Genomic DNA, 20,512 nt, shown 5'->3' on the forward strand with positions numbered 1-20,512 from the left:
TCGCCCCTCCTGGCACATCTCACGGTCTCACCTGTGTGGGAGCCTCTGCCTGCATCGTATTGCCCCTGTCGAGTGAGCCCTGCTGGGTTGGAGATTGAGGATCTCCTAAACTGCCAGGCCCGCGTGGTCCCTTCACAAATTAGTTTCCTCTTTTCCACATGGCCCCTTCCCTCTTGCCCTGCATGCTGAGTCTCATGCAGAGCCCTCTGCATGAGACTGGGGCTCTGCTCAGGCACCCTGCCTCCCTGCCTTTTTTCTTCAACCTTAGCTGGGTCATCAGACCACACCCCACAAGTTGGCTGCTAGTGAGGTGCTGCTGCCATGTTGGTATGGTCTCGTCTTTCCCAGCGTGATTCCTTATAAGCTGCCCAGAGCAGGGACTTCGAACAACTGTGCTTCTAAACTGACAGCCTGCAAACTTTTTTGAAATTATCCCCAGTTAGACACTTTAAATTGAGACTCATTGTACTGACATAACTAAGTGTAAAGCTGAAGCAAATTGTATTTATGTACTGTGTTTTATTGTTTTGTTTTTTTTAAAAATGCTGTTGTGACCAATCAAACTGATCTGCTGCTAGAACTTTGAAGAACCTTGTTCTAAATTCCTTCTGGGGGCTGGGTGCAGTGGCTCACGCCTGTAATCCCAGCACTTTGGAGGCTGAGGTGGGTGGATCACTTGAGATCAGGAGTTCCAGACCAGCCTGGCCAACATGGCAAAACCCTGTCTCTACTAAAAATACAAAAATTAGCTGGGCCTGGTGGCACGCGCTTGTAATCCCAGCTACTTGGGAGGCTGAGGCAGGAGAATCGCTTGAACCCGGGAGGCAGAGGTTGCAGTGAGCCAAGGTTGCACCACTGCACTTCAGCCTGGGTGACAGAACGAGACTCCTCAAAAATAAATAAATAAATTCCCTTTAGGGTTGTCCAGGGTGGCAGCTGTCACTTAAGTGGGCAGTTTATTTTACCTGTTAGTCTGCAGGGATTTTGACGAGCACAGCAAGACGGGCATCGATGCTTGGTTTAAACCAAGAGACTTCAAAATTTGGTCCCATGCAGAGATGGAACTTGGGAATGATGAGTTGGACTGAAGTGGACCGCACCAGTACTTGCCTGGCACACAGAAAGGGCTTGGCACTTGAGGGAGTGAGTGCCCAGCCATTTTACATATCTTATCTCTTGACCGCCACAGTGGTCTGTACAGTTGCTACTGTTTTATAGCTGAGAACAGACTGAGAGACAAGACGACTCACCCAAGCCAGGACCTAGAACTCTGGTTTTACTTCCAGAGCCTTATCCCTTGCTAGCCCGACCTTAGCGCTGATAATCCACAACTGAGTGTTCTTTCTCCAGTGCTGTTTCTTCCCTCCGGGATCCTGGGAGTGAACAGTCCTCTTTCTTCTTTCTAAAGTTGGTTTGTCTGGCCTGGACAGTGAGCTTACTGTTGTCACCTCCAGGTTGCCCTGGGAGAACCGGGTCTAGAGCAGGACCTGTCACCATTTCCAACACCATTTCTCTTCTGAAAGGGTGCCTAAGGTTTTGGAAAGGGCTTTGCCTGGGATTTCAAGTATGAGCAGGCTAGGCCACCTGTGTTACTTTATTATTTTAATCATGCCTTGGTCTGTGATTAAAACAAGCATTTGACCCTGCGTCTCTGCTGATCTGTGCACTTAGTTCAGTATTTGAGGTTTCGGTCACGGTTGTGAAAACTACTGAGACTGAATCTGAATGATGGATTACTTCTGATGCATGTCTGCCAGAGGCTTGCATGAATTCTGTGATGAGGAGTGTGGCTGCGGAACCCCAGCGCGTGGCCTGTGACCCAGCTTCCCCACTTGCCCGCCGGGTAAGTCACGGACACCTCTGGGTCCCCGTGTGTGTTTGGTGCACAGGGAGTGCTGGAGAAACAGCAGCCCTTGTTGGTCTGTGGCACTTGCTTTTTCTCCCCCTCAGACCTGAAACCACTGGAAGAGGCAGGAAACCATGCCTGCCTCAGGTAGCCTGCATCCCTGCTTTTTTTTCTTGAACCTTCGTTGGGCCATCTGACCACAGCCACAGCTTTGCGCTGGTGAGGTACAGCGTGTCCTTGTGCAGCTGTCTTGTTGGCGTGGTCTGGGATGGGGCAGCCCCTTCGGGGGGCTGGTGTGGAGGAAATGGAGTTAACCCAGCATGGTCTAGGGTGGAGCAGCCCCTTCGGGGGGCTGGTGTGGAGGAGATGGAGTTAACCCAGTGTGCACGCGTAAAGCACTCAGAGGTGCTGGGCTTGTTAGCGTCAGCCGCCGCCACTGTTTGTTGCTGTTGGTAATAGTAAGAAGCTCTGACTGAAGCGATCTGATGTTTCTGGTCATGACTCAAGGCTTTTACTTCCTTTTACTCCTACTTTTTGTATCTGTGCTGTTGGCAACTTGGCAGGGCTCCTAGATTGTTGTTTGGCACTAGAGCATGGTTTTCTGCCTTTCCCGTGGTTTCAGGTCTGAGGGGAGAGAAAGCTAGTGGCGCAGACCAACAAGGGCTGCCCTTCTCCAGCACTCCCTGTGCACCAGAGGCTGTGACATCACCTCATTCCTTCCAGCAGCCCACTCAGGGTGAGGCAGGCGGGGTTTCCCATTTTGCAGATGTGGAAAGAAGGCTTAGGGATTTGAAGTGAGTACCTTGCCCGAGGTCACAGCTGGTGGTTGGTGGATCTGAATTTGCTCCCAGAGCTATCTGGCTGCAGAGGCCACACCTAAGCCGTGTAGGACTCGGGCTTTCCCCTCTAAAACTGCACACCTGTGGGTTTGAGTGTATTCACAGATGATATTGGGCCGGCTCAGGGCGGCAGGCCCAGCCTTGCTGGCTGTATGCTTCAGGCAAGTCACTTCACTTTGAGCCTCAGTTACCCTGTCTTTAAAATGGGTAACACTTGCCAAGCAGATTGCTGTGAAGACAAAGTGAGTCCACATGCACAGAGCACACAAAAGCCGATGGAAATGGGCATCCACATCCTGCCATGGCTGATTTTGGGCCCAGCATTCTGGCCTTGGCATACAGTTCACCAGACCAGGCTCAGCAGATAAGTAGCACCTCATGGGGTATGTGTTACTAATTCTTGTTAAAATGCAGCATGCCTCAGAATCTTTCTCAACACACAGCTTTTGTTTGATTTCCTATGAAATTGGAGACTTTGACATTCAGGTGCTAGACTTGAAGCTTCATGAGGGCTAGTGCCGTCTTAGGTCACGGCTGTGTACCCCATACAGTGTAGATGTTCAGATGCTTGAATCCAGCAAGGAATGAGTCCGTGTTTTCAGTTTTTGGTAAGTGGAAGTAATTTTAGAATTGTAATGAAACCATGTTAAGCCACAGTAAACAGTGTTAAGACATGTGACCATATACATCCAGGTGTACAGAAACTGCCCCACCCAACTGCTTCTTGGTGCACGTCCTTCTCATAGCCTGTGTATTTTGAGGAAATAATCTATTTCTTTATACTTTTTAGAGGCCTTTCTGGCTAAGAGAATAATTGCTTGCCGCATAATTTCACCAGTAACACGCCTCTTGACAGCTAGTTTCCCTGAAATTCATTTAGCAATTTCTCACCACCTCATGACAAACATGAAATCTTAGGTTAACACTACCTTCTTTGTCCTATCTTCTCAATGAGATTATCTTCCCTTCAGGGGCATTCCTGAGAGCCTTGTCTGTAATATTTCCTTAATTATCTATAATCATCTTAAATGATTGTGTTTTTTGATTTTGCACAGAGCGAAGTACCTACACATTATTTCAGAAGCACCAACCTGTTTGGCTCTCCTGAGTTCTTCCAGCTGGGCGTTTGGAATGTGGGTCACCGGGTGTGAATGAGCTCTTGTGGTTGCAGTGCACGGGTGAATCGGTGACCCAGTGATGTGGAGGCTGCTCTTAGATTTCCAGGGCATGGCAAAACTATTTACATAACAATTTGCAGTGGCAGCTTCCCAGTGGCCGTGATAATAATCAGTTAAAATTTACAGTGTCCAGAAGAGAGAAAACATGCCTGTTACCCAGGAGACAGTAGACCTGAGGCAGCGTTTGAGGGCCCTCCTCAAAGGGGCTGCTTTGATAATGAGATCCTTTGTTATTTCCCCACCAACGAGGGAAGCGTGCAGTCATATCATAAAGCAATGGTCTCAGCTTTGGAACTCTAAGACCCCTTTAGGCTGGGCACAGTGGCTCACGCCTGTAATGTCAGCACTTTGGGAGGCTGAAGCGGGTGGATCACCTGAGGTCAGGAGTTCAAGACCAGCCTGGCCAACATGGTGAAACCCCATCTCTACTAAAAATAAAAAAATTAGCCAGCCGTGGTGGTGAGTGCCTCTATTTCCAGCTACTTGAGAGGCTTAGGCAGGAGAATCGCTTGAACCGAGGAGGTGGAGGTTGCAGTGAGCCAAGATCATGTCATTGCACTCCAGCCTGGGCGACAGAGCGAGACTCCATCTCCAGAAAGACCCCTTTAGTCAGCGGCTTTTCATTCTGAATAGCAGGAAAGGTTTTTGGCGAATTGTCCTCGAAATTGGCTTAAAAGAGTTTCATGACAAAACAACTTTCTTACTTTCCGAAGGACTTCATCCTATCTGAAAGGACCTGGAGTCATCCCTGGTTTCTTTGTCCTAGGAATATGAAGACAAGGCTGGAAGACCTAGCAAGCCACCCTCTCCAAAGCAGAATGTGAGGAAGAATCTTGACTTTGAACCACTTTCCACCACCGCACTCATCCTCGAGGACAGACCAGCGTGAGTTTAAGAAGACTCTCTTTAGAGTGTTTGCTTTAGGAAATAAGTACAACTTGCTAAGCAGCTTTTCATTAGAGAAAAACTAGGGTCAGAAAAGGGGAGAAGAGTAAGCCAGAATCACTTCTTATTCTCTATATTAACATGTGTTCTGTAATTATATTAAATGACCAATTTGGAAAACTGTCCTATAGCATAGAAGTTTTGACCAGGATTTTCCGTTCAGGTAATTTTTCTTTTTACTTTAGCATTTAAAAATAAGTTGTCAGCTGGGTGCAGTGGCTCACGCCTGTAATCCCTGCACTTTGGGAGGCCGAGGCGGTGGATCACTTGAGGTCCAGAGTTGGAGACCAGCCTGGCCAACATGGTGAAACCCTGTCTCTACTAAAAATACAAAATACTAAAAATACAAAAAAATAGGTGTGGTGATGGGTGCCGTAATCCTAGCTACTCAGGAGGCTGAGGCAGGAGAATCACTTGAACCTGGGAGGCAGAGCTTGCAGTGAGCCAAGATCACACCATTAATTACACTCCAGCCTGGGCAACAAGAGCAAAACTCCGTCTCAAAAAAAAAAAAAAAAAGAAGCAGTGTGTCTTCTACTATTTTCTTGTCCTTGAAAGTTGTATGCTGGGGAGAGAAATGGAGGACTGGAAAGTTAGAGGCCATCAGGAAAAGACTCTGGCCTTTGAAGTCCAGTCGTTTTCATGCTCTGAAAGGTGAACTGGCGGACTCTCCTGCAAGTGATGGTTGTTTAAAATGTCCCAGTGAATGTGGGTCCTGTTGTGTGAGGGACACAGGCAGCCAGACACTCCTGCTCTCCTTTTACCCTAGTGCCAGTACAGTTACAAGCACGCTTCTGAAAGAGAGCACGAATTGTATTTTTTTAAATGGGTTTTGAAGGTATACCAAGATGCTTAGAACTAAGGTGCACATCTGTGTATATGTCAAAAAACAAATGAACCACGTAGCTAGTATGAAATCTGTTCACTTTAAAAATCTGGTCAGGAAATGTCTTCATACATACATGTAACAAATGCTGTTAGGGTGCCCTGCCTCAAGAATTAGGTGTTGACAGTTATTAGTGTATTGCAGTCAAATCAAAGTTTCTTTGGAGTGTGGGGTGAAAATATACCAAAAGATTAAGTGTTTATCACTGTTGCAGTTATGGATAATTGTTATTTTCTTCCTGCTAATCTTTATCATTCATTTTTCCTTTCTTTTTTTTTTTTTGAGATGGAGTCTTGCTCTGTTGCCCAGGCTGGAGCACAGTGGCGCGATCTTGGCTCACTGCAACCTCTGCCTTCCAGGTTCAAGCGATTCTCCTCCCTCAGCCTCCTGAGTAGCTGGGACTACAGGCACGTGCCACCATGCCCGGCTACTTTTTGTATTTTTTAGTAGAGACAGGGTTTCAATGTGTTAGTCAGGATGGTCTTTATTTCCTGACCTCGTGATCCACCTGCCTCGGCCTCCCAAAGTGCTGGGATTGCAGGCGTGAGCCACTGCTCCCAGCCCATTCATTTGTTTTTATTTAATTAATTAATTTATTTATTTTTTGAGATGGAGTCTTGCTCTGTCGCCCAGGCTGGAGTGCAGTGGCGCGATCTCAGCTCACTGCAAGCTCCGCCTCCTGGGTTCACACCATTCTCCTGCCTCAGCCTCCTGATTAGCTGGGACTACAGGCGCCCGCCACCATGCCCGGCTAATTTTTTGTATTTTTTAGTAGAGACGGGTTTCACCATGTTAGCCAGGATGGTCTCGACCTCCTGACCTCGTGATCCGCCTGCCTCGGCCTCCCAAAGTGCTGGGATTGCAGGCGTGAGCCACATTCATTTGTTTTATAGTGAACTTGTTTTTGTTTTTGTAAGAAAGCATTATAAAAGTTTGTGAAAGAACTGTGTAATCTTAAAAAAATGAGTTTTTAGTGTTTGAGCTTTATATTTTTTAGGAAATTATGCTTCAGGTTTTTTCTGAAAGACTTCTATGCGGTATTTATAATGGTGAAAACTCATTTCTTTCCTGTCAAGAAATCTCCCAGCAAAACCAGCTGAAGAAGCTCAGAAGCACAGACAGCAGTATGAAGAAATGGTGGTTCAGGCCAAAAAGCGAGGTAATGGGGTTCACACTTGATGGGTTAAATCAGGCAGCACAGGGTTTGTGTCTTTCTGGTTATTTTCTTTTTACCATTTGGAGTCATAGAACCTGAACTTCAGTCTTTGAAATTTGTAGTCTTCCAGTAAAAAAAAAAAAAAGATGCATGCGGAAAGCCCCCACAAGCGAAAACAGGGCTGCAGGGTGGCGTGGGCGGACTGCAGGGACTCGGGGGGATGTTGAGGCAGGCAGAGGGGAGAAGCGGTGAGACCGCAGGGTTTGCTGGGAGCCTCCCAAGGAGGCCTCTTCCATCCCAGAAGCCCCCAGGGCTGTCCCGGGCGGGCTGTAAAGCCCCAGGCTTTGGAGCTGGGTGCCTGTGTCTCTCGCAGAAGGCTACTATCCATTCCGGGTAGCTTTATTCAAGAGAAAAGCACTTTGAACTGACGTGAGAAAAGTGACTGTGTAAGATAGAAATACTAGACTACAGAAAGTTTCAGCCATCAACGACACGTATATTTCTTTCCCTCTCTGGGTTGTTTTTTAAAGTTCCAAGAAGATATTTTGATAAAATTCCTTGCAACACTTAAACTCTTTTTCTAGGAGATTTTAAAAATATATAACATGGATGTGAGGGCGATTTGGCTGTCATATCTGTCACTCCATTGATCACCAGGGTTGATTCGGCTCATCTGCTGGCTAGCCCGGTGTCCCCTTCCCCACTAGCACTCCATGTGCGTCCCTCCCGAAGCTGTGTGTTTGGTCAAAGAGAATGACCATCCCTGATAGAGGACCGGTCTTCAGTCAGGGTATGTGAGTAGCTGCACTCCCCTGCTAGAGCCTCCAGACAGGCTCCATTCGTAGGAGAATGTAGAGTCGTCAACCTTCCAAGACTCCAGACACATCCAAATGAGGCACTGCATGTGGCAGTCTGCCTTTCTAAAAATAAAAATAAAAAAGGCCAGGCATGGTGGCTCACGCCTGTAATCGCAGCACTTTGGGAGGCCGAGGCGCGTGGATCACCTGAGTTGGGGAGTTCGAGACCAGCCTGACCAACATGGAGAAACCGTGTCTCTACTAAAAATAAAAAATTAGCCAGGTGTGGTGGCACATGCCTGTAGTCCCAGCTACTTGGGAGGCTGAGGCAGGAGAATCGCTTGAACCCAGGAGGTGGAGGTTGCAGTGAGCCGAGATCGTGCCACTGCACTCCAGCCTGGGTGACAGAGCGAGACTCCATCTCAAAAAAAAATAATAAAAATATATAACAATGTGGTGTATATGTACAGTGGAATATTATTTGGCCTTAAAAAGGAAGGAAATTCTGGCACATGTGGCCACATGAAGGAATCTTGAAGATACCCTAAGTGAAACCAATCAATCAAAACAGGACAAATAATGTATGGTCCACTTCTATGAGGTCCCTAAGAGCAGTCAAACTCAGAGACAAAAAGTAGAATGATGGGTGCTAGGGGTTGGGGAGACGGGGAGTAGGAAGTTAGTATTTAATGGGGGCAGTTTGATTTGGGAAAATGAGAAAGCTCTGGTGATGGATGGTGGTGTGGTTGTACAGTATGAATGTTCTTAATGCCACTGAACTGTATACTTAAAATGGTAAATTTGACCACACACACAAAAAAGTATATGTAAACTAAATGCATGGTATTTCTCAGAGCTGCTATTTGTAGATTAAGAGTAATGCTCAAGGCTGGGCATGGTGGCTCACACCTGTAATCCCAGCACTTTGAGAAGCCAAGGCGGGTGGTCAGGAGTTTGAGACCAGCCTGGCCAACATGGTAAAACCCTGTCTCTACTAAAAATACAAAAATTAGCTGGGCCTGGTGGTGGGCACCTGTAATCCCAGCTTCTCAGGAGGCTAAGGCAGGAGAATTGCTTGAACCCGGGAGGCGGAGGTTTCAGTGAGCCAAGATTGCATCACTGCACCCCACCCTGGGTGACAGAGCAAAACTCCGTCTAAAAAAAAAAAAAAAAAGCAGTGCTCGAACTGTTGGAAGTCAGCATGGAGCTTGCATTTGGAAGGGGATAGGGCTGGGAGCACAGGAGGGACTTCCAGAGTTCCAGTAACGTTCGGTTGTTTTGATCAGGATGGTAATTTCAGGGATTTTTCTATTTTGTGGTAACAATTGTGTTCTTTTTTTCTTTCTTTTTTTTTTGAGGTGTAGTCTCGCTCTGTTGCCCAGGCTGAAGTGCAGTGGTGCTATCTCGGCTCACTGCAACCTCTGTCACCTGGATTCAAGCAATTCTCCTACCTTAGCCTCCCCAGTAGCTGGGACTACAGGCCCCTGCCATCATGCCCAGCTAATTTTTGTATTTTTAGTAGAGACGGGATTTCACCACTTTGGCCGGGCTGGTCTCGAACTCCTGACCTCAGGTGATCCACCCGCCTTGGCTTCCCAAAGTGCTGGGATTACAGGCGTGAGCCACCGCGCCTGGCCAACTGAATCGTATTCTTCTTTGTGTACTTTCCTGTCTAGATGTTAGACTTTGCAAGCTTACTAAAGGGTGGATAATGCCTGAGCCTTCTGGAGTCCGTCAGGTGTGAAGTGAGCGCTGGAGCTGATGCTCGCTCTGCTTCAGGGCGGTTTTCCTGGTGTGTTCGCAGTGTGACAGGAAAATCACCTTGCCTGGAAATGGTCCATATCAGTTAGTAGATTGTTGTTTTTCTAAATTGTGATTTCTAGAGCTGAAAGAAGCCCAGCGAAGGAAGAAGCAGCTGGAAGAAAGATGCAGAGTCGAGGAAAGCATTGGAAACGCTGTGCTCACCTGGAATAATGAGATCTTACCTAACTGGGAAACAATGTAAGATGTGGCTCTGGGTGTGGCTGAACTGCAGAGCATGTCTTTCTAGAATCTGTGGGCCACAGCTGTAGTCGTCATAGCCAGCAGTGACACCCTGGATGCAGCGAGTTGAAGTTGCATCATCTTCCTTCCCTCTACCCTGGCTCAGCCTGCGCCATCCCTTGCTTGGAGACTGTGATAGCCCCTTCCCCTCCCTTCCAGTTCACCTTCTTCTCATCTCCTGAGCCAGCTTCTAAAGCATGAGTCAGTGTCCCCTCCCTTACCTAGAATTTCAGTAACTTCCTGTGACTGTCAGTACACAGTTTGAACCCTTAGCAGGCAACACCCTTAGTGAGGTGGCCTGCCTTCCTCGGCAGCCTCACCCTCGGATGCCTCTCCTCCACTTGGACAGAGCCCTCTCCCTAGGGAGCCCCCCATAGGTGTTGCTCCTTTTAAACCTGGGGCCTCGCATGTTCCAGGCCCTGTGTCTGGAGTGCTCTTGTCCTGTACTTCCTCAGCCAGCAAACTCCTGTGTGCTCTCCAAAGCTCAGGGAAGACTTTGCTGCCCCTACCCTGGCTCTAGGGCCCTGTGGTTCTGTGTGCACACAGCTGTCTGTTCAGGCCTCTGTCTTCCTCTCTTTGAGGATAGTGACCCCAGTGTCCAGTAGAGTGCACCTGGCAGAGTCTGGCAGCTGCTGCCCTCTTTACATCTGAGGGGCAGCTGTGGGTCTTGTTTTTATTCTCGTGTTCAGAACGGTGGGGGCCAGTGTGCGGGCAGAAGTCCCAAGGCTGCGCACAGAGGCATTCGGGGAGCTTGGATGCCAGCTTCCCTTCTGCTCTCGTCCCACATGTCAGCACTGCAGGGGTCACGCGGCCCTGCTCAGGGTCTCCACTAGGAAAATATGCTCAGAGCATGCTTTTTAAGGCAGTATCCTCAAAAGGCTGGATGCTGTCAGGAAACACTTTATACCTGTTCTCGCATGGGATCTAGTAACAAGGACAGAGGTTCTCAGAATGCTTGCTGCTCCCACCGAGGGAGACCACTCTGGTCTGTCCTGCAGGGCCGTGGGTTGGATGTGGTCTGAATGCATTGCATGCAGACCCACAGCAGTTCCCGTCGACTGCACACGGACGCTGCCTGGCACTGTTCTCCGTGCTTTTGTACTTTATCTCACTTCATCCTCACAGTGGCCCTTGGGTGTAGGTTTCATCGTCTTGACTTTCGAGAGGATGGTATAGGTTCAGAGAGGAGAGATCATTTGTCCGGATTCCACAGGTAAGGATGGAGTTAGGATGCAGCCTGCTTTCTGCAGCCTCAAGCCTGTGCTCCCCACGATGCTGCGTTCAGAGGCACCACGGGGGCCTGGTTTGCCCAGGCTGTTGGCAGTGTGTGTTCCGTGTCCCAGCAGAGCTGAAGGACTCTGTACAGCCTACAATGTTCTGAGTCAGCAGTTCTTCTCCGCAGTTAGAACTTGCCAGCTCACATCTGGGCGCTGGGCCTGTATTGGTGGTGCGATGGCCGTCTGCTGACTCTCTGCTGGGGTCTGCTTCTGTCTCCAGTGCTGCTGCAGTGCCGCCTGGCACTCCTCACCCACTCCCAGCTATGTGCTGTTCCTGTAGGAGGCCAAGCCATTGCTTTTTCCTGTGTTTTCTGCTCAGAAAGTCCTCCCCATCCTTCATGTGCTCAGGTCATTCAGAACTTGGCCCCAGAGCGTGCCTGGGCCTCTGGTTCGTGGTGACCTACGCTATGCTGTGCTCCTCCATACCTGCCACGGCAGCTGCCAGTGGAAGGGGATTGTTGATTTGATCTTTACAGAGCCCTGGACTCTAAGCTTCCTGAGGGCAGGGGCTGTGCCTGATGCAACGGTGCATCCCAGCTCTTGGTGGTTCGGGGCTAGGCACGCAGGTAGACAAATGTCTTTGTGTGGAACAAACTCAAACTCCTGCTTCTGTTTTTGTCCAGGTGGTGCTCTAGAAAAGTTCGAGATTTATGGTGGCAGGGAATCCCTCCAAGTGTGAGAGGCAAAGTCTGGAGCTTAGCCATTGGCAACGAGTTAAATATCACCCACGGTGAGTGGCCTGCATGATCCTGGGGAGTCCACCTCCAGGCCCTTTGGCTTCTTCTCTCCCTTTTGCCCTGTTGGAAAGAATGGCAGCCATTGCCACGAATCTGTGTCTTTTGAGAGACCAGGAGACTGTGTCCTTCAGGAGAGAGGGGCAGTTGGGAGGCCTGGGTTTAGTGCTGTGCACTCCGGTTACCTGACAGCTCAGCGCAGGAGCTCTTGAATAGAGGGGGCTTGGAAGACAGGGCTTAGAGCATCGGGGAGGTGCCTGAGCTTCGCAGATCAAAGTCCTAGGAAGGCAAGCCTTGCCTGCGACGTGAGTGTGGAAGGGGCAGGTGGTTCTTGCTGTGAGGGTGTTTATTGTACTGGGGTGTCTGTTGGTATTTTGTGGGATTTTTTTTCAGGCAGCCTTGGAGGAGACAACATACTGTGCTGGGACTGCGGTCCTTGGGGCTCTGGGAGTTTGTCTGCTGGGTGAGAACCATGCTCACCGATCTCTCGCTGTATTGCATCTACTCAGTTTGCATGTACACTTCCTCCCTCAGGCTGAATTCACTTCCCCAGGTGTCCTGAGCACTCTGAAGCGCGTCCAGAGTGAAATAGGTGCCAGGAGCCCGCAGACTTCAAATTAAGTGATTAATACTGGCAGCCATTCTTTTCACTTCTGCCTCCCTGCCTGCGGTCTGAGCTGTGGAAAGACGGGGCTACCTTCCTGCTCTTTCTTGGGCCTAGGACCTGCTGGGGAGTTGATGATGTGGTTTTTATGCTCATGAAGGCCTTGAGTTTAAACATTTGATTTGTATCTTCGCTCTCTAGTTGGGGTTTTGATTGTTGTTCTTATCCTGACAGGTTATCTTAGCCTCATCCCAGGCAGGTCTCCCCTCACGCCCTCACGGAGCGTCAGCCAGCTGGCTGGTGACTGGCTTCTGTGCGGTGTGGTCCTACAGAGGAACGTGGGGGCCCGGAACTCCCTCTTGGCTAAATCCATACCTACCAAAATTTTGTTTTAACATCTCTGTGTGAGAAGATGAATAACGTTTAACTTGTGGAAATGGTTTTTTAAAAGTATCCTCAGAAGTTGAGGTTTGGAGAAATTACTGAGCATTTATTTCTAAACTCTTGTCTCTGCAGATTGGATGGAATGCACAGTACCTTGTGTGTGTGTTTAATTTTTGCTTCTCACTGATGCCTGGGTGGATTTTATTTAAATTAAAACCTATGGACCGTATTGTTTTGGATTGGGCTAAACCGCTGACGAGTCAGTTACATGTTTAGACATGAGTCTTAGACATTTATCCAAACCTTGGTATTGGCTCGATTTGTGTACATTGTGTCTGTCTTGTATTGTGAACCGCGCAGTGTCAGTGGCCCCCGCTAGCACTGGTACTCAGGAAGCTGGGCCCTCACCTGCTGTGCTCTCTACCTTTTCACCCTTACCAAGCCTGGGTCTCTGCATGGGGCAGGCCCTTAAGAAATACCTGCTGTGTGAATGAATGCTGCCTTACTGGGTCCTGCTTAATCTCGATTTTACTACGTTTCCAAGCCAGTGTAAGAACACAAACAAACTTGGTTGCTGAGTACCAAGCATCATATTAGGTTCTTTACTTATGGATCTTATTTAATATTGACAGTGCGACCTTGACCTCATTTTCCTCTAGAGAAGGCTCAGCATCCTGGAAAGGCTAGGACTGTGCCCAGGTCTCTGGCTCGTGTGTGTGGGGCCAGGACTCTGATCCTAGGCCCAGGCTAATCCTAAATCCCATGTTCTGACTTGGAGAGCCCTAAGGTTTTGCTCTTGTGGTTGTACAATTGAAAACTTAGTGAAAGTCGACCTAATAGTACTATTAAAACTTCAGTTTTAGGGCCCCAGTCAATCTTGTACTTTGACATTGGAGCAGGGGGTTTGGGCAGAAGGTGTGGTAGCTGTCCAGCCTCCAGCGTTCCCCAGATGCACACCAATAAAGAAAGCCATGGGGGAGACTTACAACTCTTTGACACTTTGACCCATTAAACCCCGAGGCTGGCAGCCTCTGTGACTTAAATGTCAAATGCCTTAGTTGGGAAGGGATTCCCTAGTGGCCATGGCCACACAGTGGTTTTCATCCACCTCCTGCCAAAATGACCAAAGCTTGGCCGGCCTCCTGGAGGCCGAAAGCAGGTGGAAGTGCCACCAGGTGCATGAGGCAGCAGCTCAGAGCAGTGTGGGATTGTCCTGGGAGCATGCGTGCTGAGTTACTGCTTTGGACACTGATACCATAATAGCGAAACTAGATTTTGGATTACATTTTAATAAAATAGTGTGCACTGCCCAGAAGGCAGATGTGCTCTGCTGTATTTTCCAAAAGTAATGATGGGAAAAATAAAGTGCTGAAAATTCCATGGGTAGCTGCAATTAAAGTCTTAGTGATAGACAAGTGATTGTGTGTAATCTGAGACATCTGGGAGCTGATCAGGAACATCAGAGCCAGAGGAGTGGCGGGTGCAGCAGCTGGCGCTTGTCATCCCAGCACTTTGGGAGGTTGTGGCAGGGGGGAATCACCTGAGGTCAGGAGTTTGAGACCAGCCTGGCCAACACGGCCAAATCCCATCTCTACTAAAAAAAATAAAAAATTCACCAGGTGCGGTGGCGTGCACCTGTAATCCCACCTATTCAGGAGGCTGAGGCAAGAAAATTGAGATTGAATCTGGGAGGCAGAGGTTACAGTCAGCCAAGATTGCGCCACTGCACTCTCCAGCCTGGGCGACAGAGCAAGACTCCATCTCGGAAAAAAAAAGAAAAAGCCAGATGACCAGGAAGCACCTGAGACTGGGCTGTGTCGGGGAACAGGGCGCTGAGAAGGAGCTCTGTGGATTCAGCCTTCACACTTGTCCTTGAAAGAAGAATGGGGCACGGATATACCTGTGGAGGTCTGTGTATGCTAGTGAAGTCGTGTTGTTTAACTATTACCAAACCACCCGAAGAGAGCTGTCACAAAAATAAGTTCTAAATATGGAGATTTGGAGGCTGTCATGATCCTTCTCTGCCAGCAAGAGTCCTGTTTTTTGAAGCTTCTGCGTATTCCTGGGATCTTCCCCCACCCCTGCTTCACTGCCAGGCAGCAAGACGAGGCCTGTGCCAGGTGGGGGCAATTGCACCATGTCCTTTCTTGAAACCCAATGATTCTCTGCTGGTCCTTCCTTCCCTCCCTCGGTCATTGAGACATTCCTTGATTGGGTTGCTCTGTGTCAATTCCAGTGCTGTGTGTTTTGGATACAGAGGGAGTGAGAGAGCTTCACCGTCTTGCCCCAGGGATCTTGCGGTCTGGGAGAGGCAGTAGACAAGTCACAAAGACCAAAACAAGGCAGTTTTGTGGGTAGGCTGTGTCAGAGAACTAAATAGCAGTGATGTGTGTAATCTTTCTTTGTTTCAGGCTGTGTCTTTAAACAATAAAATTACTTTCAGGCCAAGTTGGGGGGAATTGTTTAAGTAGCCTGTTAAGTATGCATTAAGCCTATTATAGTTGAACTTAAGTATTTGGAGGAAATAGTACTGTGTTCTGTGGTGGTTTTGACGAAAAATACATGTGCACGTAATACTTACCCAGAGGCTTTTCTTCCAGAGCTCTTTGACATCTGTCTTGCCCGAGCCAAGGAGAGGTGGCGGTCCCTTAGCACAGGAGGCTCTGAAGTGGAGAACGAAGGTAGAATGTCTTCTAAAACCAGCGGACTGCTGTGGTCAATTATGTTTGTCATTCTTTATTACATAGTGAAGAAAGTTGACGTTAACTACAGTAGAGATTGTTGTGGAGTCATAAAAAGCTCCACGAGAAAAGGGTTTTTTTTGTTTTGTTTTTTTTAGCAAAAATTAAAGGTAAAAACTTTTTATAAGAAATTGGCCGGGTGTGGTGACTCATGCCTGTAATCCCAGCACTTTGGGAGGCTGAGGTAGATGGATCACCTGAGGTCAGGAGTTTGAGACCAGCCTGGCCAACATGGTGAAACCCTGTCTCTACTAAAAATACAAAAATTAGGCTGGGTGCAGGCGCTCACGCCTGTAATCCCAGCACTTTGGGAGGCTGAGGCGGGTGGATCACAAGGTCAGGAGTTCGAGACCAGCCTGGTCAACATGGCGAGACCCCCGTCTCTACTAAAAATAGAAAAATTAGCCAGGTGTGGTGGTGGGTGCCTGTAATCCTAGCTACTCGGGAGGCCGAGGCAGGAGAATCACTTGAACCCGGGAGGTGGAGGTTGCAGGGAGCCAAGACCGTGCCACTGCATTCCAGCCTGGGTAACAGAGTGAGACTCTGTCTCAAGAAAAAACAAAAATTAGCTAGGCGTGGTGATGTGCACCTGTAATCCCACCTACTCGGGAGGCTGAGGAAGGAGAATCGCTTAAACCCTGGAGGTGGAGGTTGCAGTGAGCCAAGATCTCACCACTGCACTCCAGCCTAGGTGACAGAGCAAGACTCCCTCTAAAAAAAAAAAAAGAAATAGAACATCCCAGTTCCTGCGAGGTGTTTGTGTCCTGACATGCTGGAGGGCCCGTCATAACCAGTGCCATTCCCTTTAAAGTTGTTCATGTGACTTCCAGTACCCTGGTGTCTGGGATTAGTTGAATACTGGCTTATAGAGGAGCTCAGATTTACAGAGACAAGAACACTGCATGTTTGCTAGATTATGCCTTTAGAATTCTCCATAACACACAAGGATGATTACTTCTTTTGGTTAAGAAATACATGATTTTACTGATCATTTTTACAGTCTTTGTGGTATTAGAATTCTAAAAAGTATAAAACAAATTATTTATGATTACTTGTTAGAGATACTACACACTGGCTGGGCACAGTGGCTCGTGCCTGTAATCCTAGCACTTTGGGAGGCTGAGGTGGGCAGATAAGGCCAGGAGTTCAAAGCCAGCCTGAGCAACAAAGAAAGACCCTGTCGCTACAAAAAGATAAAAGAAAAAAGAAATATTACATGAGTATAATACCGCAATAGTTTCTACATCTAGTGAGTTTACACTGAAGATGTTTGAGATCGAGCAGTGATATATGTGTGTGTGTGTGTGTGTTTATGCTTGGAGTTTCTTTGTGTTTATTCTCCTACTTGTCCTTGCTTTCCACTGATTGTTATTGATGAGAGGCAAAATGTTAGATTTTGATTTCAGACTCTGGAAAATATCTAATGATAATCTAGAATTAGCTGGTGCCATAAGATATTTTGTTCTCTAAGAAACCCTGCAATCTGTTAAATACTCTGAAGCTGCACTCTGAGTCAAGATGTGATTAGGTCAGTGTGCTTCTGAAAAACTTTTTTCCGTGTTTTGTTCTTGTAAAACTTCAAAGGCTCGTAATTGTCCTACATTCGTGCCCTTGAGGAATGTAATTATTTTTGGCATCTTTTGACAGATGCTGGTTTTTCAGCAGCAGACAGAGAAGCCAGTCTGGAGCTTATTAAACTGGACATTTCTAGAACATTTCCTAATCTCTGCATTTTCCAGCAAGTAAGTGGTGGTGACTTGTTGCTTTCAAGTATGTTTTGTCTAAAATTCATAGATGCTGAACTGTGTATATTTGTTGTCAAGTTTGAAAGGTACTTGGGTTTTTGGGGGTGTTAGGAGGTAGGGTGGATGTTACTATTAAATACATTTAGACTTTTTAAAATAAGTGTAACTGATCATTTCCAACAAATATTTACTATGTCCATACTTGTGCTCCAAAAGACAATTCTGTCTTCCTCTTGAGATACATGTCTCGGGGCCCCTGTAGGTCTGGTCTGAGAGGGTCCCCATGGGTGGCTGTGTCTGCTGGCGCTTTCTTGGACACTCCTCTGCTCTCAGGACTGTGTGTAGCAGTCTGCGCTCAGCAAGGCCATGTTGGTGTGATGGGCTTCGGCTCAGATGAGCCCAGTGCAGTGAGCCCGTGTGAGAAAGGGAAATCCCTGGCAGCCTGGGTGGGTGGCCAAGCCGGGGTGACAGGTTTCTGAGCAGGTAGACCAGGAGAGCAGTGCAGCTGAGGGACAGAAGCCTGCTGTGGGAGATAGGACAGGCTCCTTAGGTGGCAGGAAAAGCAGAGGGGAGCCTCCTCCTGGGCATCTGAACACAGGACAGGGCTGCCAGCAGTAGGTTGTGGGGTCATCTGAGCTGAACTCTTTAAAGACCTTCTATTCTTTGAGCCAGCAGACGTTAATCTGGGGATCTTTTGATCCCTTTCTTATCTATAACGGGTTTTTGCGGGGGCAGTTGTTCTTGCAGAATACCTTTGCACCTGTCCCTTGTCTGTTCTCACTGCCTTTACTCAGGTTCTCATCTTTGTGGATTTCCGTGTGGGTCTTCAGAAATCTTTTCAGAAGAGGAAAGAGAGGGAATCTACAAAGCTCCAGCAGCTTTGGTCCTGGTGTCTGGTGCGTGAGCCCAGCGAGCACCCCACTGGCTTGCAGCAGGCAGTTGACTTAGCTGGGAGCCTGTTTCCTGGAACCCTGCTTCTCCCACAGGGCAGATTTCAGCTTCTCTGCCCTTTTGCCCCAGTTCGTCTCCATAGGCCTCAGTGCACTCCATGCTTTGCAGCCCCTGCATCGCTCTCTTGGAGCTGCTCCTGTTTCTTGGCCCTTGGAGGGGAAAGACTTTCTTCCCCCAGCCCAAAAGGCCCTTCCCCACCCTCCACCCACGGTTCACGTGCCCCCTCACCAGGCTCTCAGAGGGATCCAGGAGAGGCAGCTTTCTGGAAAGGAGTTTTACCTTTGATTTCAAACAAATTTGGGCTTTTATCACAGATTGCCTTCCCACTAGCTTTGGGCAAATCCATCTTTTTGAGCCTTAGTTTGTTCATCTGTAACAGGGTGATCATACTGGCCTAACAGGGCTGTTGACAGTACTTGGCAGATAACAGTGCTTTTTGTTATTAAATCTCTTTGAACGTAATTTGAAACTGAAAGACAACTAAATCCAACCAGAGGTCAAAGGGCCATATCCTACCAGGTGGTGGCAGAAGTGTGTGATGAAAGAGGTGGTGGGCGGAGGCCAAAGAAGTTTCTTCCCAGGTCTTTCATTCCAATGTAGAGATCTCTCAGCCCTGGTAGAAAGTAGCTTAGTAACCTTTCTAATGAGCAGAGATTGAGTTTACTAAAAGAAAGCAAAGAACAGTTGAGGGGGAGAGTGGAGAACTGTGTCCAAAAGCAGTTAAGGTCATTTATTATTTTTTCTTTTTTGAGACAGAGTTTCGCTCTTGTTGCCCAGGCTGGAGTGGAATGGCATGATCTCGGCTCACCGCAGCCTCCGCCTCCCGGGTTCAAGCGATTCTCTTGCCTCAGCCTCCCGAGTAGCTGGGATTACAGGCACCCACCACCATGCCTGGCTAATTTTTGCATTTTAGGGAGAGACGGGTTTTCACCATGTTGGCCAGGCTGGTCTCGAACTCCTGACCTCGTGATCAGCCCACCTCGGCCTCCCAAAGTGCTGGGAATACAGGCGTGAGCCACTGCGCCCAGCCGCATCATTGTTTTCATTTAAGAAATGACAGAAATGACATTTAGCACCAAAGTGAGATGGAAGGATCGAAATTACAACGGTAGAAAACCTTTGAAGTTAAACACATTTAGCTTTAAGAGAAGTTCAGTGTAATGCTCTTGTTTTCTTGTTTAGCCTTGGCCTGGATAAAACTTTGTTACAGTCACACTAGTCCTTAGACTGGCATTTGGTGCCACTGCAGACCGTCACCCCCACCCTAGGCCTGGATGCTGGCATTTTTACCCTCTCATTGCTATTTTTCCTTTTGTCCCTCTGTGATTTGGAACTGTCTTTTCTTTTACTTAGCTCTTTTCACATGCTAGAATATGATGGTCTGGGCCATGGCATTCTTTTGTAAGCCACCTGTGGTCACCTGTGGAGTGACTTCTTATCTCTCACCATGTGTGATTTTTATTCCTTGTGTTAAATGTAGGTACCTGGTAGACATAGACAGTAAGTGTTTGGGACTGAACCTGTCCTTTTGTTGTATCTTCTCACATGCTAACTTCAGCGTGAGGCATCTCTGCACTTTCTTCTGTGCTCCATTGGGGAAATAATTCCAACAATTGACTTTTTGGAAGCAGTTATAAGAGCAAGTGGAAATGTTAGAGGGGTGGAAGAGCTGGGAGAATGTTTAAACAAAATGGTAGCCACCAGGACTTAGAAGAGTGTATTTCCTAAACTTGCCATTCAGAAAACCAACAGAAACAAGGAGAGTGATAAGCCTGGGAGGAGAGGCAGAAAGGATAGTCAGGATGTGGGGCACAGTGGGAGACGGCCTGAGTGACACTGAGTAGTCACCTGCTTTGAAGAGCCCCCGCATACCTGGCTCTCCTGGTGGGCTTTGAAAGGGAACACAGTTATACAGCAGGAGCCAAATAAAGGATATTTGTCCAGGGTGGTGCTCCTGCCTGGCCCTCCAGCTTCTTTTCAGAGCAGTTACATAGCGTGAGCTGCAGACTTCCCTAGCTGTGAATGGGTAATTTGTTAAATTCCATATGCATATAGAGCTGCTGGCATCATGCTTGGCATATTTCATAATGCTGAAAATAGCAGGAGTGGCAGCGGCAGCAGTAGTAGTATCAGATGTTCGTCTGAGCACTAACAGTACTCATGCATGTGTTGTTTTTGCTGTGTTGATCCTTTTAGGGTGGTCCATATCATGACATGTTGCACAGTATTTTGGGCGCTTATACTTGTTACCGGCCAGATGTGGGTTATGTAAGTGAAGTTTCTCAGTATTTTATAATGTTGTTATCTAAAAAGAAAGTCAGATATTGTCCAGCACGTGTTAGCTGCAAATGTCATGCCAGTGCCTTCGTTTTTGCCGAGGAGTATG

The 20,512-nt window shown here is 47.9% G+C and overlaps 1 protein-coding gene and 1 pseudogene across 18 annotated transcripts in view, besides 2 other annotated features; both read left to right on the top strand.

Annotated features, from left to right (window-relative positions):
- The window catches only part of TBC1D14 (TBC1 domain family member 14), a 123,649-nt gene that overhangs the window by 80,089 nt on the left and 23,048 nt on the right, over window positions 1–20,512 (top strand). For 8 of the 18 annotated variants that reach the window (NM_001113361.2, NM_020773.3, XM_047416002.1 and 5 more), the window contains 7 exons: window positions 4,630–4,748; window positions 6,771–6,853; window positions 9,531–9,648; window positions 11,591–11,697; window positions 15,290–15,370; window positions 17,078–17,172; window positions 20,323–20,394. In NM_001113361.2, coding sequence (NP_001106832.1) covers window positions 4,630–4,748; window positions 6,771–6,853; window positions 9,531–9,648; window positions 11,591–11,697; window positions 15,290–15,370; window positions 17,078–17,172; window positions 20,323–20,394 — 675 coding nt within the window. Of the gene's footprint in view, window positions 1–4,629; window positions 4,749–6,770; window positions 6,854–9,530; window positions 9,649–11,590; window positions 11,698–15,289; window positions 15,371–17,077; window positions 17,173–17,969; window positions 18,072–20,322; window positions 20,395–20,512 lie in introns of all 18 variants that reach the window. The other 10 variants (XM_011513508.2, XM_011513507.4, XM_047416001.1 and 7 more) reach the window with 3 other exon arrangements.
- RN7SKP292 (RN7SK pseudogene 292) lies at window positions 7,458–7,772 on the top strand (annotated as a pseudogene).
- Window positions 17,719–18,357: an enhancer, noted in NCBI's record as "OCT4-NANOG-H3K4me1 hESC enhancer chr4:7009000-7009638 (GRCh37/hg19 assembly coordinates)". NCBI's record gives its function as "activates a minimal SCP1, AML or CMV promoter by ChIP-STARR-seq in primed H9 embryonic stem cells {active_cell/tissue: H9 hESC(primed)}" and the evidence as "EXISTENCE:reporter gene assay evidence [ECO:0000049][PMID:30033119]".
- Window positions 18,358–18,997: an enhancer, noted in NCBI's record as "OCT4-NANOG-H3K4me1 hESC enhancer chr4:7009639-7010278 (GRCh37/hg19 assembly coordinates)". NCBI's record gives its function as "activates a minimal SCP1, AML or CMV promoter by ChIP-STARR-seq in primed H9 embryonic stem cells {active_cell/tissue: H9 hESC(primed)}" and the evidence as "EXISTENCE:reporter gene assay evidence [ECO:0000049][PMID:30033119]".

The sequence above is a fragment of the Homo sapiens genome, chromosome 4, assembly GCF_000001405.40.
Source record: "Homo sapiens chromosome 4, GRCh38.p14 Primary Assembly".
In the NCBI taxonomy this organism is placed as follows: Eukaryota; Metazoa; Chordata; class Mammalia; order Primates; family Hominidae; genus Homo; species Homo sapiens.